The 19,026-nt window shown below is 39.4% G+C and overlaps 1 protein-coding gene across 2 annotated transcripts in view; it reads right to left on the bottom strand.

Annotated features, from left to right (window-relative positions):
- The window catches only part of SORCS3 (sortilin related VPS10 domain containing receptor 3), a 623,953-nt gene that overhangs the window by 32,947 nt on the left and 571,980 nt on the right, over positions 1-19,026 (bottom strand). For both annotated transcript variants that reach the window (NM_014978.3, XM_011539542.2), the window contains 3 exons: positions 17,683-17,854; positions 15,174-15,360; positions 9,047-9,180 (listed from right to left, as the gene is read on the bottom strand). In NM_014978.3, the coding sequence (NP_055793.1) occupies positions 9,047-9,180; positions 15,174-15,360; positions 17,683-17,854 (493 nt within the window). The remainder of the gene's footprint in view (positions 1-9,046; positions 9,181-15,173; positions 15,361-17,682; positions 17,855-19,026) is intronic.

The following is a 19,026-nucleotide window of genomic DNA, read 5'->3' as shown; positions in this document are numbered from 1 at the left end:
AGATCAATTTCTTGAAAGACACAATCTGTTAAAACTCACACAGGATGAAAAAGGTTATTTGAATAGAACTATATCTATTAAATAAATTGAATCAGTAATTAATAACTTTGCTAAAGAGAAAACACTAGGCTCAGATGGTTTTACTGGTGAATTCTACTAAACATTTAAGGGAGAAATTATGCCAATTTTCCACATCATTTTTCAGAAAATAGAAGAGGATAAAATATTTTCTAACTCATTTAATGAACCAAATACCAAAATCAACCATCAACCAAATACCAAATACCAAATGTAACCAAATATCAAAATCAGGTAAATATATTACAAGAAAGGAAAACTAAAGATCAATAATTCTCAGGAACAAAGATGCAAAAATCCTCAATAAAGCATTAGCAAATTGAATCCAATCATGTATAAAAAATTATACTACATAACCACTATGAGAATTTATCCCAAGGCTGGTTCAACATTTAAAAATCAATTAATGTAATCCATCTCATCAGCAGACTAAAGAAAAAAGAACATGATCATATTAACCTATGCAGAAAAAGCATTTAACACAATCCAACACCCATTTATAACAACTCTCAGTAAACTTAGAATAGAGGGGAAATTCCCTGAGATGATAAAGAATATCTACAAAAAACCTATAGCAAACATCATAATTAATGGTGTGAAATTAGAAGCTTTCCCACTAAGATCAGAAACAAAGCAAGGACGTTCCCTCTCACCACTTCTTTTCAACATTGTACTGGAAGTCCTGGCTAACATAATAAGACAAGAAAATAAACAAAAGTTATATTGGGAAAGAAGAAAGAAAACTATTTGTTCATAGATGATATGATTGCTTATGTAGGCATCTAAGAGAATCAATAACAACCAGCAAAAATCTCCTGGGACTAATACATAATTATAGCAAGGTTACAGGATACAAGGTTCATATATAAAAGTTGATCACTTTCCTGTATACCAGCAATGAACAAGTGTGATTTGAATTAAAAACACGATACCAAGGAGTTTAAAGATGGCTGACCAAAGGCAGCTCATACTGGTCTTCTCCACAAAGAAGAAACAAAAATAGTGACTAGACAATCACACTTTGAATAGGTCATCTAAGAAAGAATCCTGGAGTTCAACAGAGAAGTAACAGGAAGCACATAAAGCAGTGAAGGACATGGAAGCAAGGCAGCCTGCTTGGCCAGGATCGGCTAGGAGTTTGGAGAGATTCCCCAATGTGGAAAGGGACTCCCCAATATGAGAAAAGGGCAAGTGAGAGACCTCCAGAAGTCCACATCCTCACCATGGACTCCTACAACCCTAGCCACTGGAGAGCCTCTTGACCATTGTGGGCCCTGAAACTGACATAAGCAGCTCCCTGGAGACTGCAATATCCGTGCTCCAGAGAGGGAGCTCACACTGAGTTCCACACATCCCAAGTCCAAAGCAGCTGCAGCAAGGTGCCATTTTGAGAACCTAGCTCCCAACAGACTTTGCCTTGCTCTGGGGCCCAACAGCGACTACATCTCCTTATTCCTGGAGCCCTGTTGACATCCCCCACAGACAGTCACCACTGCACCTAGCTGCTGCTATGTGGACTAAGGCACAGGCCACTGGCAATGATCACACTTGCCACCAGCATCAGAGCCACTGTGCATTTATTGCACCCAGACAGAACCCCTCTCCCCACCCATAGCTGCCATTACTGTGGGCTGCTGCCGTGGGCTGGGAGGTTAGTGAAGTTTGGGCTGCTACAGTCAAGGCTAAGATATGAGTGAAGAACCAGTTGCCAATGAGGTGGCTGAAGTGCAAGTGAAATATAAGCTTCTGCCACCTAGGCTAAGATACAAGCAAAATATGTATTTCCCACCCACCTGACTATGGCTGCCACTAAAAGCAACCCTGCCCACCACTAAAAGCACCCCTGCCCTCTCCAGTAGCAGGGCAGCAGCATAACCACTCCCACTCCCCAACCTAAGCATCCCACCTGGGGTTTGGAGATCACCCTACCACTGTCTACCACAGCCAGTACCTGCACACAACACCAGGGAGCCTGAGGGTAGGACTTCTTAGCCTGGCTCTGCCTCCCCTGAAGCCAGAAGACTCAATCTGAGAGTACAAGGGTCTCGGGATCACACTGCCTAGTCTACCACAACCAGTACCTCAGCACTCCTCCCAGACACCTGAGGTTGGGCACACCACCCTGCCACTACCACCAGGTTGGGTCCACCATCCTACCACTACCACCAGAGCTGGCACCCATCTGTATTCACTAATTGTAGATATGAAGACTAAACCACTAACCCATTGCAGCCACCACTAACATCAGTGGAAACTGCTCAAGACACAGAGGGTTATCCTGCCATTGCTACTACTATCACCTACACCACACCTCCTGCCCAAGGGGCACAGAACCCACTCACCCACCTGGTGCACCACTATGACTACCAGCAAGACACCTGAAGGCCCAGGAATCAGTGCAGTTGGGCCTTCTAACACCAAGGCCAACGTACACTGCTCTGAGGCCCCTAAATAGGCATAATCAGCCCACTGCTGCTACCCTAGGACCCCAGACCCTGGCCCACCTGACATCCCAGTCCCCAGCAAAAAATTTCCATGGCCTCCACTAATAACTGCCTCCAATCCAGCAAGGGAATCACAGCTGCCACTGATTCTATTTAAGGCAAAATAAATCACACAGACACTATACTAATGCATGCACCCAGAATCAAAGCCAAAGTGCCCTATTCAACCAACACCATAAAAACATCTTCAGGAAAAAGTCCCTCCCTACAAAAGCAAATTCAAAAAACTGGAAGAAGTAACCATTATACCAGCTGCACAGATATCAATGTAAGGACACAGAAAACATTTTAAAAAGCAAGAAAAAGTGACAACTCTGAAGGAACACAATAATTCTCCAGTAACAGATCCCAATCAAACAAAACAATTATAAAATCCAAGAAAAGGAATTCAAAATATTGATTTGAAAGAAGCTCTGTGAGATAAAAAGAGATTCAAAAATGCAAGGAAAAGAAATCAGGAAAACAATTCAGGATATGAATGAGAAATTTACCAAAGAGACACTATTAAAAAAAATGAAGACAAATTCTGAACAGAAGAACCCACCAAATGAATGACAAAATACATTTGAAAGCTTTAATAGACTAAATCAAGCAGAAGAAAGAACCTCAGATCCCGAAAACAGGTTTTTGGAAATAACCCACTCAAACAAAAATGTTAAGGAAACAATTTTTAAAAATGAGCAAAGCTTATGTGCTATATGGAACATGATAAAATGAGCAAATATTCAAATTGCCGGTATGCCAGAAGATAAAAAGAAAATGAAATAATTACAAAATCAATTTAACAAAATAATTGCTGAAACTTTTCCCAAGTCTAGCAAGAGATTTAGATATCCAGATTCAGAAGGCTCCGATAGTTCCAAAAAGATGCAAAGTAAAAAGATCTTCTTTATGCCACATTATAGTCAAACTCTTAAAAGTCAAAGACAAATACAGAATTCAAAAAATAGGCAAAGGAAAACATCTAGTGACTTATAAATGAGCCCCCATTCAACCAAGAGTGGATTTACCATCAGAAATCTTACAAACCAGGAGAGAATAGGATGACATATTCAAACAGCTGAAAGGAAAATACTGTCAACCAAGAATATTATACCTAGCAAAGATATTCTTCATAAATGAAGAAGAAATGAAATATTTCCCAGACAAGCAAAGCTGAGGGAATTCATCACCACTAGATTTGCCATATTAGAAATTCTTAAGAAAATCCTGTGAAAGAGAAATAAAGAAAGAAATCAAGAAAGCAAGAGGGAAAGAGAGAAAGAGAGAGAAAGAGCAAGAAAGAAAGCAAGAAACAGAGAAAGAAAGAAGAAACAGAAGGAAAGAGAGAAAGAAAGAAAAGAGAGAAAGAAAGAAAGGGAAAGAAAGAAAGGAGGGATGGAGGGAGTGATGGAGGGCAGGGCAGGCAGGCAGACACATGAAAATATAAAAGCCACTGGTAGAACAAACAAACAAAAAAGGAAGATAAAAGATTCAAATGTTATCACTATGAAGAACAAAACAAAACCACTATGATAAACAATAAGAGAGAAAGAAAAGGGACAAAGGTATACAAAACAACCAGAAATTAATTAATGAAATGATAGAAATAGGCCCTCACATATCAATAACTTTGAAAGTAAGCAAATTAACTTTCCTCAGTAAAGTTAAAGCTAATGAAATGGATTTAAAACACACATACACACACACACACACACACACACACACACACACACACACACACACACAAAATGACCACAATATGCTGCCTACAAGGAACTCATCCCACCTGTCATGACATATACAGACTGAAAGTAAATGGATGGGAAAATACATTCCATGCAAATGAAAACTGAAAATTAGCAGGAGTAGCTATATTTATATCAAAGAAACAAACTTTAAGTAAAAAAAAATAAAAAACAAAAAATACAAAGAAGATCATTATATAATGATAAAGGGATCAATTCAGCAAGAAGATATCATAATTCTAAACATATATGCACCCAATACCCCAGCACCCAGATATACAAAGCAAATATTAGTTGATCTAAAGGGAGAGATGGAATCCAACACAATTATAGTTGGGAACTTCAACACTCCACTTTCAGTATTAGACAGATCATCTAGACGGAAAACAAAGAAACATTTCACTTAAACTGCACATTAGACCAAATGGACCTAACAGATATTTACAGAACATTTTATCCAAGAGCTAGAGAATATACATTCTTCTCATCAGCACCTGGAACATTCTCCAAGATCGACCATATGTTAGGACACAAAACAAGTCTAAACAAATTTTGTAAAGTTGAAATCATATCAAGTATCTTCTCAGACCACAATGGAATAAATCTAGAAATCAATAACAAGAGGAACTTTAGAAACTGTACAAATACATAGAAATTAAATGATATGCTTCTGAATGTTGGGTCAAGAAAGAAATTACACAGTAAATTTTAAAAATTTTGAAACAAAAAAACCCAGAAACACAACATACCACAACCTATGAGATACAGCAAAAGCAATGCTGAGAGGTACGCTTATAGCAATAATTACCTACATCAGAAAAGCAGAAGGATTTCAAATAATACAACCTGCAACTCAAGAAACTAGAAAAGCAAGAACAAATAAAACCCCAAATTAGTAGAAGATAAGAAATAATAAAGATCAGAGGAGAACTAAACAAAATAGAGACTAAAAAAATAATACAAAAGATCAATAAACCAAAAAGTGGTTTTTTTGAAAAGATAAACAAAATCAACAAACCACTTGCTGGACTAACCAAGAAAGAGTAAAGACTCAAATAAAATCAGAAATGGAAAAGGAGGCATTGCAACTGATACCACAGAAACACAAAAGATCATTAGAGACATTTATGAACAACTATATACACTAAGAAACTGAAAAACCCAGAGAAAATGGATAAATTCCTAGACACATACAACCCACCAAGACTGAATCAGGAAGAAATAGAAAGCCTGATTACAGGCCAATAACTGATAATGAGATTTAATTAGTAACAAAAAGTCTCCCAAAAAAGAAAAGTCTATGATCAGATGGCTTCACTGCTGAATTCTATCAAACTTTCAAAGATGAACTAATATCAACTCTTCACAAAGTATTCCAAAAAATTTAAGAGGAGGGAATGCTCCCTAACTCATTCTACAAGACCAGCATTACCCTGATACTCAAACCAGGCAAGAACTCAACAAAAAAAGAAAACTATGGGCCAATAGGCTCGATGAATATAGGATTGAAAATTCTCAATGAAATACTAACAAACTGAATCCAACAGCACGTCAGAAAAAAATATACATCAAGATCAACTTGAATTTATCCCAGGGATGCAAGTATAATTTAACATACACAAGCCAATAAATGTGGTACATTGCATCAATAGAGTGAATGACAAAAAACATATGATCATGTTAATAGATTCAGAAAAAGCATTTGATGAAATTAACATCGTTAATGATAAAAAGTCTCAAAAAACCAGCATAGAAGGAATGTACCTTAATGTAGTAAAGGCTATATGACAAATCCATAGTTAATATCATACTGAATCAGGAAAAGTTGAAAGCCTTTCCTTTAAAGCCTAGAACAAGAAGATAAGGATGCCCATTTTCACCACTCCTATTCAATATAGGACCGGAAGTCCTAACCAGAGTAATCAGGCAAGAGAAAAAAAAATAAAAGCCAATCTACATTTAAAAAGAAAGAGTCAAATTTTCCCTGTTGCTGATGTATATTTAGAAAACCTAGAGACTCCATGAAAAAACTCTTAAATCTGATCAACAAATTCAGTAAAGTTGCGGAATACAAAATCAACATATAAAAAACAGTAGTGTTACATACCAATTAAAACAAAAACATAAAATACCCAATACCATGTACTTTAGCACCATCAAAAATGAAATTCTTCTGTATAAATTTAACAAAATGTGTACAAGATCCATGTAGGAAAAACTACAAAACTCTGTTGAAAGACATCAAATAACAACTAAATAAACAGATATGCCATGTTCATGGATAGGAATACTTAATATTGTGAAGATGTCACTTCTTACCAATTTGATCTATAGATGCAATCCAATGCCCATCAAAATCCTAGCAAGTTAGTTTGTAGACATTGATAAAGTGATTTGAAAGTATATATGGCAAGGCAAATGACTCAAAATAGTCAACATAAAATTGAAGGAGAACAAAGTTGAAGAACTGACTCTACTCAACTTCAAGATCTATTATAAATCTACAGTGATCAAAACAGGTTGTATTGGTGAAAAAAAACAGGAAAACAGACCAATGGAACCAAATAAATAGCCCAGAAATAGACTCACATAAGTGTAATCAACTTATTTTTGGCAAAGGAGCAAAGTTAATACAATGGAGCAAAAATGGTATTTTCAAAAAATGGTGCTTGAACAACTGGATATCCACATGCCAAAAAAAATGAATCTAGGTATAAACCTTATGCCTTTAAAAAATGATCTCAAAATGGATCATAGATCTAAATGTAAAACTCAAAACTATAAAACTCCTAGAAGACAACATAGGAGAAAACATTGATGATGTTGGGTATGGAGAAGTCATTTGAGATACAACACCAATGGCATGATTCATGAAAAAAAGAACTGATAAGCTGGACTTCCTTAAAATTAAAAACTTTTGTCTACAAAAGACACTATCAAGAAGTTGAAAAGATAAGCCACAGAGTGGAAGAAAATATTTGCAGAAGACATATCTGATAAAAGATTATCCAATAATATACAAAGAATTATTAAAACTCAATAAGTAATGGAACAATCTGATTTAAAAATAGGCCACAGACCTTAATAGACAACTCACCAAAGATGTTATATAGTTGGGAAATAAGCATATGAAAAATTTCTCTAAATAATATGTCATCTGGGAAATCCAAATTTAAACAAAAATGTGATATCATTACATGGCTATTAGAATGACCAAAATCCAGAACATGACACCACCAAATGCTAGTGAGTATGTGGAGCAACAAGAACTCTCATTCATTGGTGGTGGAAATCCAAAATGGTCCAACCAGTTTGGAAGACAGTTTAGTGGTTTATTTCAAAACCAAACATATTGCTACCATAAGATCCAGAAATCATGCTCTTAGTATTTATCCAAAGTAGTCGAAAACTTATGTCCACAGAAAACTTGCCCATGAACGTTTATAGCAGCTTTATTCATTATTGCCAAAACTTAGAAGCAACCAGTATGCTCTTCAATGAGTGAATGGATAAATAAACTGTGATACATTCAGACAATGGGATATTATTCAGCACTGAAAAGAAATGAGCTATCAAGACACGAAAAGACATGGAGGAAACTTAAATGCATATTGCTTAGTGAAGGAAGCCAATATGAAAACAGTGCATACTATATGATTCCAACTATATGACATTCTGGAAAAGGCAAAACTACAGAGACAGTAAAAATATCAGTGGTTGCCAAGGATTAAGGAGGAGGCAGGTAAGAATAGGTGGAGCACAGAGCATTTTCAGGGTAGTGAAACCCTTCTTTTTGATACTATAGTGGTAGATTCATGTCATTATACATTTATCCAAACCTATGGAATCTACAAAACCAGAAATGAATCTAAAGTAAACTATGGACTTTGAGTGATAATGATGTATTAATGTAAGTTCATCTATTACAACAAATGTAACACTCTGGTGGAGGATGTTGATAATGGAGGAGGCTATACATGTGTGGAAGCAGGGGATATATGGAAAATCTCTGTACCACCTGTTGATTTTGCTGTGAACTTACAACTCCTCAAAAATGAAGTGTTCTTTATAAAACAGGAATAGAGAAGAACATTACCTCTGAGGAATTCTCAGCCAAATTGCTCCCAGCTTCTATCATACAATTGTGGTCATGCTTGACACAGGTGTTGCCATCACCATGGCTGGAAGTAGGGAGTATATGGCAAGTCCAGAGTTTGGCCTCTTTTGTTCCTTTCTTTGAGACGTGGCAACCTCAGCACCTTGCCTGAAAAGAATGCTAGCATTTCTAGAACAACTAGTAAGTATTGATAAGGATTCTTTACCTGGGTTATCTTGTTTAATTTTGGCAACCCTACATTTAGATATCTAGACAGATAGGGCTACTTAATCTCAGAGATGCTAAGTAACTTCTTTGACATTATATAACCAGGCCAAGGCCAAGATTAAAGCAAAATGGAACGAATGAAATTTTAGAAATATTGATTAGAGAAGCAAGAACATGCAGGTTTGCAGAGTTTCTCAAAGTACTCTTTCTTCCTTAGGATTATTTGAACTTTCCCTAATAAAGTAATGAACTTGGTGTAAAGAGGTATGTTTTATTCAATTTTGTGGGCTCATAGGTTTATTAAGTACCTCTTATTGCCTGCATTCTCAGTGCCCCCTAATAGACACATAAAAGCTGGAACATAGGAGCATTCAGTACAGATCTAATTTGACATCAATCAGAAAGGGCCAAACCTTTGTGCTATTGCCGAACCACCAGAAATAGGTAAGGGTCCCCAGTTGACTGGGCCACACGACTGCACTGATGTTGACCTCCTTATTTCTTATGGCAACAAATGGAACTCGGAGATGAACATGCTCCACAGGACCTAAGGAAACAGAAAAAAAAAGTCAGTGTTTATATTCTGGATGTGGTCAAACTGTATCACACCCCTAGATTCTTAACCTTAAATTCTATTCGCATCTCCTGTAAAAAAGGAAGGGTCACAAAACCATATACATTGGGAGGTGTGTATACACGCTTGAAATGAAGTACTGAATATAACAGGGAACTCAAATCAAGTTTCAGATTTTTTGAGTGGCATCTGAACTAAATTTACATCTGATAAGTCTAACCACAGATGCTTATGAACCTCTAATACAAGGACAAAGCTGATTTACTAGACACTTAGCCAATAAATGGGAAGATAAACAGCAGTCTATTTTGTTATTGATGATTAGCCTGTATTGTGATTTGGGGTCAGTGTATTGTATGGAAGGCTCTTCCATTATTCTTGATTGTTAATGGGTTTCCATCTCCTTCAACAATTGGCCATTGTGCCTCATCATCTGCAGTATACAGTGGGTGTCATTCAGAAACTGGCAAGGCTGTTTTCCAAACAGGGAAAAGTATATCTCCCTAAATCAAACTAGAAACAAATGCCAGGTTCCCAAATAATAAGAAATCTGCTTGCAGAAAGGTAACCAAGCTTCTTATTTTTTCCCTCAGAAAACTGATATAAGCAGCATGATATTCTAAACTAGCAAGTAGAAGAATATACATGAACACACCCTAGGCAATAAGTGAGGATTTTACTTTCCAAACTAAAATGAGAAGAGGACAAAGCTGATGAAACAGTGTTAATGCGGCCGGGCGCGGTGGCTCACACCTGTAATCCCAGCACTTTGGGAGGCTGAGGTGGGTGGATCACCTGAGGTAGGAGTTCAAGACCAGCCTGGCCAACATGGTGAAACCCTGTCTTCACTAAAAATACAAAAATTAGCTGGGCATGGTGGCAGCCGCTTTTAATCCCAGCTACTTGGGAGGCTGAGGCAGGAGAATCACTTGAACCCAGGAGTCAGAGGATGCAGTGAGCCAAAATCGCACCATTGCACTCCAGCCTGGGCGACAAGAGCAAAACTTCATGTTAACTAAAAAAAAAAAAAAAAAAAAAAAAAAAGTGTTAAGGTATCGGTGTTGCATCTGAGAGGTAAATAGTTTTTTAACACTGCAAGATTTTTTCTCCCTTTTTCCCTCCTTTCCTAACTCCTTCCCTTACTTTCCTTTCTATATTTCTGTCTTCCTCCCTCCTTCTTTCTCTTCTTTAATCCTTCCTACATAAACAAATCCAACTAAAATATGTAAATCTCTCCTATTATGTCAGAGCACATTTTCTTGGTTTCCACCATCATCAATTTGATAAGAACAAGTAATTGAAGAGATTTCTATACGAAGTTCTTAAGCCACAACTGTAGCAAAGACATCTCTTCAGCCTGGGGGCCTTGAATTCTTATTGGTGGAGGATTTTTCAGGCCATCTAGCCGTCCTTATTTGCTTCCCTGGTAATTCTGGAGACAAGTCAGTTCAAAGGGAAGAAAACAGATGAGTGTTTCTCATTTCAACTCTGGCACAAATGTACCCATATGATTTTTTCCTTTATCTTATGAGTCTTAATCCTACACAGACTATTACCTTGTTCTAAAAATAAGGGACAACATTTGCTCTGCCTTCCTTATATTAATAAGAACATATGAATGTGTTATGTGGTTGTTTAAAGTACCATACAATTAATGAAAGAATGTCATGATTTCTACCACTACTGCCGACCACCACCACTGCCATCACTGTTTCTGTCATTGGGTAGTAGTCCCTCTAAGGACTTCAGTGAGCATTCTCCTGAGTCTAACTGGACATATTCTGTGTCATAGGTAATTTTATGTTGAAGGGGAAAGTGTTTGGACAGTGACTGCTATTTGGGTGGGGAGACAAGCCAGGCCAGTGTATGTGTAAAGGATAAATGCTTGAGGGGGATGGATGCCCTAGTTTCTATTATGTACTTATTTCACATTGCATACCTGTATCAAAACATCTCATGTACCCCATAAATATATATACCGACTATGTACCCACAAAAATTAAAAATAAAATAAAACCGAATACTTAAAAGGAAGAGTATCTACAGTGTGAGAATGCTTTCTGCCTAAAGCGCTCTGCCTTGACCCCAAACATATGGCATCTCAAGATTTCTCTTAGCAAACACTTTCAACTTTGTCAATTCAGATACACGTCTGGTTGAAGGTTGACTTATTTTAAATAAGGAAATTTTGGTTATTATTTTTGTATGATTTGTTTGTTCATGAGGTAAAAAGGCACTAGATGTGGGAAAATAATGGATACTTTCATTGCTTTATTTACTCATTTTTAGGAGTTTACCTAATCTATGTCCCTTTATAGTTTGTGTTTTATTCATCAATGGGGAAGAGAAAGAGGCTGTGGGGCGGGGCTCCTGGCTAGTCCACATCCAAGGGGGGAGATGAAAAACTTCTTTCTCCATGCCCAGATTCAAATCTCTCATTTTTCTCCTGATAGAAAAGGGGCCCCTTTAGGGGACCCTTTTACCTTCAAAGTCACTGCTTCTCTTCTCACTGCTATCCTCCAGAAAGCATGAAGCCCATTCCCCAACACACCTCATGGGAACCCTGGGATCTTCCACAGTTAAGCAATGATGCAGCTATGGTTCATGGCCTTGAGTTTCTTCTTGGCTTTCTATCACTTGGGGGCCTTGGCTCAGTGAAAGCTGACAGTGTCAGATCCTCTGATACCCAAGAAGATAAAAGGAGACCCCCTTCTCCATAAACTCACACCAAACACAAAAAGGATGTGGCGTTCACAACTTGAAAGACCATCACTCATGGTTGCATTTATTCAGCTTCAGGACAAGCATGTTTGGTTAAAAATAATCCTAAGGAACACTACCATATAGCAGTTTTTTTAGGGCAAAGATTCTGAGCCAGGAACCCCTGGGCTTTGATGTGGAGACAAACCAAGGATCAATGAGAAGAGATGAGAGCTGAGCAGATTCAGGAAGGAACAGAGAAAAGTCCTAAATTCCTCACTGTCAAATAGTGCCCCTTTTGATAAAAATCTAATAATCTGTGCGAGATTGGTTATTTTGGGCAGCTAACAACTACTTTTGTTAGCTAATGGCCCAGGGTAAGGCCAAGAGCAGTCTCCACAATAAAAACTATCTGGAAAATGCAGCCATGATTGATTTGGAGGGAATTATAAGCACGATAAAAGTTTCAAGGAACATTTCCTCCCTCATGCACATAAGCCACAGTGTAAACCTCTTCCTTGCTGTTGTGTTTTTTGCCAGTAAGATACATTGGTTGTCATACCCTGAAGGCAAGGCCCACTCTTGGCAGAATCAGAAATGTGGGTGAGGCAAGTCCTTGGAATAGAGGAATGTGAAGTTCATTTTCCTTCTTTGTCTTCATTTTTAAATGCAGCAAAAATGTCAGGTACAAAGTTAATAGGAAGTACTTAGTAAATACTCTAATTCATCATGCACCAAGCTGGGTGATAGGCAGCATTCTGCACACTGTGCCAAAAGATAACATGGACCTGAAATTGCTGTCCTGAGGAAGGTCTGCATGTAAGTTGGCCCCAGGCTGGTATCTGGGAACATCCAGTCAACCGTTAACTGATAAGAGTGGTTCACTCTGCCTAAACTGTTCTTGAAAACAGTATGGTTTATTCCCAATGCTTTCCATTGGGAATCTGGAGTTTTGGTATATGCCAGGCAGAAGGTACCTACATGACTGGCCCCCATTAAAAACTATGGGCACTGAGTCTCTAATGAGTTTCTGTTTTAGGCAGCCTTTTTATACATGTTACAACTCATTGCTGGATAAAGGAGTGTCCTGTGTGACTTTGTGGGGAGAAAACTCATGGAAGCTTCTGCCTCGTTTCCTCTAGACTTTGCCCCCTGAGCCTTTTCCCTTTGCTGATTTTGTTTTGTACCCTTTCGCTGTAATGAATCATAGTCATGAGTGAAACTTTAGCTGAGCCCTGTGGGTATGCCTAGTGAATCACCAAACCTGGTGGTGGTCTTGGGGATACCCAACACATGCACACCTCATCCAGTTTGATTCTCACAGCCTCCCTTTTAGCTAAGCATTGAAGATAAGATATATATATATTTTTTTTTGAGACGGGGTCTCGCTCTGTCTCCCAGGCTGGAGTACAGTGGCGTGATTTTGGCTCACTGCAACCTCCGCCTCCCAGGTTCAAGCGATTCTCCTGCCTCAGCCTCCCTAGTAGCTGGGACTACAGGCTTGTGCCAAAACGCCCGGCTAATTTTGTGTATTTCTAGTAGAGACGGGTTTCACCATGTTAGCCAGGATGGTCTCGATCTCCTGAGCCTGTGATCTGCCTGCCTTGGCCTCCCAAAGTGCTGGGATTACAGGCGTGAGCCACCGCGCCCAGCCAGCAATGAAGATAAGAAATTGGAGGTTTATAAAGGCTAAGAACATTGACCAATAGTAGACATTTAACAAAGGAATGTGATCAGAATTCAAGCACAGATCTCCCTTGTTCTGAAGCCTGGGCTCATGAACACCGTGCACATCACCCACCTGGGTTTCTGACCTGGTGCTTCTGACACAGAATGGTTGTAGTTGATGTGGTGTGGTTCTCACCACTTTGCCTATTTATGGCTCATTTGTAGCAGCACCCCACTTCCCCACCAGAATGGAAACTCTGTAAGAGGAGGGCCATATCTGCATTGTTACCTCCCAGTGCCTAGCAGAGTGCCTTGCACATTTTAAGACTTCAACAAATTTTTGTTAAATTAATTAGTGAATGATTGGGTGTTTTTTGTGTGTTTACTATTACAAAAGCCCCACGAGGCAAGGTAGCAGTCAGAATTAAGCCATTTTAAAATTGGAGTTCAGGAGATTGAGAAATGAAATCATTTATCTCATGGCCATGTAGCCTGGCATTTTTAGGGACATGACTGAGCTACATAATCCAGGTCTCCTCTCACACACATCCCTTACCACTTTTGGTCCCTTTACCGGCATTGTGACTGGAGAGCCAGGAGACTAGCTAGCTTACTGTTTGCCAGGGACCTCTTAAGGTGTAGGTTGTTTATACAATAGAGTTGATGCCATCACTGAGTTGTTAATAGGAGGGTGCTCCTTGTTTTCACTTAGACTCTTTCAGAACTTATGATTTTCACTATATGTAGCATATTACCTGGAAACTCTTGTGGGGTATGTAAGTAAGAACCATGGAAGTCCTTAGACCCACGAATATCACTGATACACATGTGGGAAACCAATCCCAGCCCCAAGACAACATTTCCTCGACCCGACATCCTAAAATCACAATATTAAAGTTTCAGTTTACATGCATCAAATTCTAGAATAGAAAATACACAAAATGCATCCAGCACAAATGAAATATTTTGGAACACCAACTGTTCTTTTGGTTTGTGCCAAGCAACAGCCAATAGCAATGAAATAGATTCTAGCACAACAAAATATTTTTGGAGAGTTCTTAGAATTGTCAAAACAGAATGAACTTGCAGTAACCTTGTATGTAAAAATTAATTTTGTGTGTGTGTTTAGTTCTAAATTAAAAATATCTAAACATGTTTCTTTAATCCTTCTCTGGCTCTTACAACACAAATAACAGTTGACTTTGATTTGTGCAGTCTTCATTCATAATAGATTGAGAATGAGCCTGAGACTATCAACCAGAAGGCTTGTTTCTATCTTTTTCATTTTGAGGATTCTCCAAAAGGAAGAGAGGAGACTTTTACCTGAATGTGTGTGCACGCACACATTTATATCAGAGCAGAGTGGTGCTGAAAAGGACGGCCCAGGTGGTAATATGTTATCCGAACTTCAAAATAATCAATCTATTTCAGTACCATAATACTCAGAAACACAGATGAGTACATATCTCCACCATTTGGTTTGGGTAATTGTAGTAGTCACACTGAACCTGGGCTCAGCTCTGAATTTTAGGAAGTCTGAACAGAGCAAGTTGCCAACTGGGAACAAAGGGAAAACGGGGATGGTGCCTCCTACTTACAAACCACATGCAGGAAGAGGACAGCTGTGTCTGAGCCAAGGTTGTTCTCTGCATAGGCTGTCACCTGGAAGATCCCCGCACTCTTATACACGTGCTTGATGCCGTCCTCGATGGGGCTGAAGTTTGCGTAGGACACAGCAATCCCATCCCCAAAGTCAAGCTGGATGTTTGTCCTTTGTAGATCACCCTGCAAGATGGCATAGCAGACGGGTCAATTTACTTGGTCCAGCCAGACTCCTATCTGATGCTTCCTCCTGTTGCTTCAGCATCAACCTCTGATGACCCATAGTCTTTCCCAAAGGGCTGAAACACCTGCAACACAATGATCACACTCCTATCTGATCCGCAGGGTACTACGGGCAGGCACTATGGACCTATTGTCCTCATCGCCCAAGCTCGGGGCAAGCTGAGTTGGTATGACACTGACAATAGTGGGCAAGGTAGACCCTCTGTAAAGTTCTGAAGGGAAGCCAAGGGTTTCACTGACTCCCTCACATACATAGTTTAATTCTCCTTTTGTGTCATAATAATAATTGCAATCATAGTAGCAGCTAATAGTTACCGAGGTTTTTTTTATTAGTGCCAAGCAAGCAGTCTCCTCATAATTCCATATTATAGAAAGTATTTTTGTCCCCATTTGTCTGGGGACAAAAATAAGTAGTTAGACCAAAGTTTCATAGTGAGTACAGGAAGACCAGGTTCCAGACCCAGTCTGGTTTCAATAATAATGCCCTCAGTTGCCATGCTATAGTTGTAATTGCTCCTATTTTGAGTATTTGCTATGTTACCAGAATTATGCTACTCACTTAATACATATTATATAACACCATCTGCAAAACAACAGCAGGGATAGGATGGCGATTCCCATTCTACAGATGAATACTGCATACCACCCCAAATTATACCCTTGTTCTCTTATCCTTGGACTTCCCTAAATCTACTTAAGCCTCCTCTTCCCTGAAGCCTTTTCAGATTGTCCCAGTTCACAGATATCTCTGTCTCTTGGAAAGAGCTCTCTGTGTACTACCTGGTAACATGATGCCAATGATTCAGGTGAATGCATCTCACCACCCCAAGCCAACACTTAGCTTCTTAAGGGTCTATGCTGAACCTCATTCTTCTTGGTCCCCACCCCCCCACCCCACCATTATATTGGGCCAACACTTTGGATCAACACAATGCACTTGACCACAAAACAAAGATCCTATATGAAGAATAGCATTGCTCTGTTCATATATGAAGATGAGTGATAGAATAAAGAGAGAAATACATCATTTTGGAATTATGAGCCAATCCTTCTGCCCAGTGAATGTGCACTGATCACAGTTTCACTTTCCATTTCTTCCCCCATGGCAGCCCAGATGTGAATGAAATATTGATAGGTACTCTCTTGCCCCCCACACAATGTCAACTATCCTTGAGTTTATGAATATAAATTAAAGTGGAAATGAACTGGAGGCAATTCAAACGGATAAGATCGTGGCTCTTCACACCCATTCAAGAGAAGGTTTTTATAGCTGTGGTCCTGGAAACTCCCTAGTGGAAATGTGATAATGACCTCCTCTGAATCTTAAAGTCCTTTAATTCCAGCACCTGCTGTGAGTGAAGGCTGAGAAATCTGTCAACCCAGGATAAGGAACCTTCACCACCCTGTCCAGTGTGCTCCTGACTTTTAAAGGTTTCTGAAGTGCTCATACTTGTGAAAAAAAATGACTCCTGGCCTGTTTTGCCTTCTTTCCAAGATCTCAAGAGCACAGAGCAATTTGCATATAAATTTAGAGGGCTGTGTCAATCAAGCAAGCCTTCCTGCTCTACCACTCAGCAAAGAGTGCCTAAAATGCCCTAGTATAGGAAGCAATTCAACAGCTTATAAAAGAAGCAGACAACAGAGATATTCCCATACTGGAATCAATGTATGTAGTCTGATTTTACTGCCCAGATTTCAGAAGACACTAAAAAAGTGAAAGAATACAGCATCTAGCTGATAGAAAAGCAACTAATACAACATTCTTTATAAAGATAACTTTAAAGGATTTCAATAATCTTCCCCATCCTCATGCTCTTACTTTTAAGGCCTTGTGAAAGCTTTGTGGGCTTTTCTAATCAGTGGGATTAAGGGTCAGAATAAAGCAAAAGAGGCTCCTAAAAGCAACAGATAAAATTCACATTTCCTTCCTCTGGCCAAGTTTACAGTTTATGGTCTTATGGTAATAAATATTCCTCAGCAAAGCAGACTTTAATGGAGACCCTGAAGAATATATCCAGATCTGCATGCTCCAGAGGCAAGTGGGCTCCCACTGCGGACTGGGTCTTTATTGTGGGATAAAGGGAGGAGGGTCAGTAAATACCCTAAGCCCTCTTTCACCCTTGTCTGTCTTCTTTCCAGAAATTTCAGCTTCTCACCATTGACTTTGGTGCAGGGGTCTGTGGGAATGTAAGATCTTCTTCTTCCCTTCTGGGAATGGTCTGGTTGGGAGTTCTGACCTCAGAGACCCAGTTGAGCACCTACCTCCTCCATGAGGATGATGAAAGTTGCATTGTGCCCCTGCTCTGCCACCAGCCGCCCATCGGTCGTCACCACATGGAGGCCCCGAGGGGCTTTTCCAGGGCACATCTGGGCCTTGGCGGTGTACTTCTCCCTTAGCCCATCTGTGCAGTTGTTGGACACAATCCGCCGATACCTAAGTAGAATTGACAATTGATAGTGGTTTGTGTTGATTGTGTTGTTGTTGCTGTTGTATGTGTGTGTGTGTGTGTTATAAAGGGAATGTAAGAGAGCAAGAGCAAAACAGGTGCTTCACACAGCGGCCCCTGGAAACCAAGTCTCAAAAAGACAGTCATTTACGAAGCTGAACAAATGCTGAGGACCTGCTATCCCTCCATCTTGGTAAGAGTAGCTCCTTAAACGTTATTATTGATCCTACCTGGTGAGCCACAGATTGGATCAGTGTCTAAACCAGACAAGGAAAATCAATGTCTGACTCACACAACAAAAGAGGAGGCAGACTCATTGGACTCAGGAAATGGGAAAAGCAGGTGCTTCTACTTGTGAGGGACAGACCTGTTTCTATCTCCCAGAGGCCATCTCCAGCTTTCTCTGTACCAGAAAGCAGGTAGAACATCAGACTTTTTCTAACTCTGATTAATCAGGAGGCTGATTCCTATCTTCCCTATTCCTCCAGGGCATCATTCCTTCCCCTAATGCCTAATAGCCCTTTCTGTGGAGCCACTGGGCTGTTTCAGAGCACATTTTTTTTCTCCTTGCTAATATTTCATTTCCCACTCAGCATAAACTCCAGATTAGAAGCACAGATTTGAAACTCCTATTCAATCTCACTATCCCACTATGTAAAATTATCTTATAGAGGAGGTCGGCATGGGAAAATCACCTGACAAAGCACTATGACCTTCTGTGACAAGGACATCATTATGTACAATGACACCATGTCATCTTCCTTGCCCACCAACCCCAGCATATGAAGTCAAGCCAAGAGCTTTCCTACAACCCTGATCTGCATGATGGGCATATTTCCAGGCACATGACCATCTATAAGGCTGCACTGAAAAAACAAATGTTCTGGTAAAAAACCACATGAAAGAAACACACCACCACTATGACCATCACCACCATCATCACCAGCAGCATTATTATCACCATCATCATCACCATTACATGCCCATTACATTTTGTCTTCTTTCACTCACTATGTCAAGAATAATTAACAAATCCATCTATGTTGCCTTCCTATGGTGGTTTCAAAAACAGAGAAATTTATAACTCTTTTTGAAAGATATTAGTCTTCCATCATACCTGACATTTTCCCTGGGTACCCCCTGCCACCCCACTGCTGAA

Source organism: Homo sapiens, chromosome 10 (assembly GCF_000001405.40).
Source record: "Homo sapiens chromosome 10, GRCh38.p14 Primary Assembly".
NCBI classification, from domain to species: domain Eukaryota; kingdom Metazoa; phylum Chordata; class Mammalia; order Primates; family Hominidae; genus Homo; species Homo sapiens.
The sequence above is the reverse complement of the archived record's forward strand: the minus strand, read 5'-3'. Positions and strand labels throughout refer to the sequence as shown.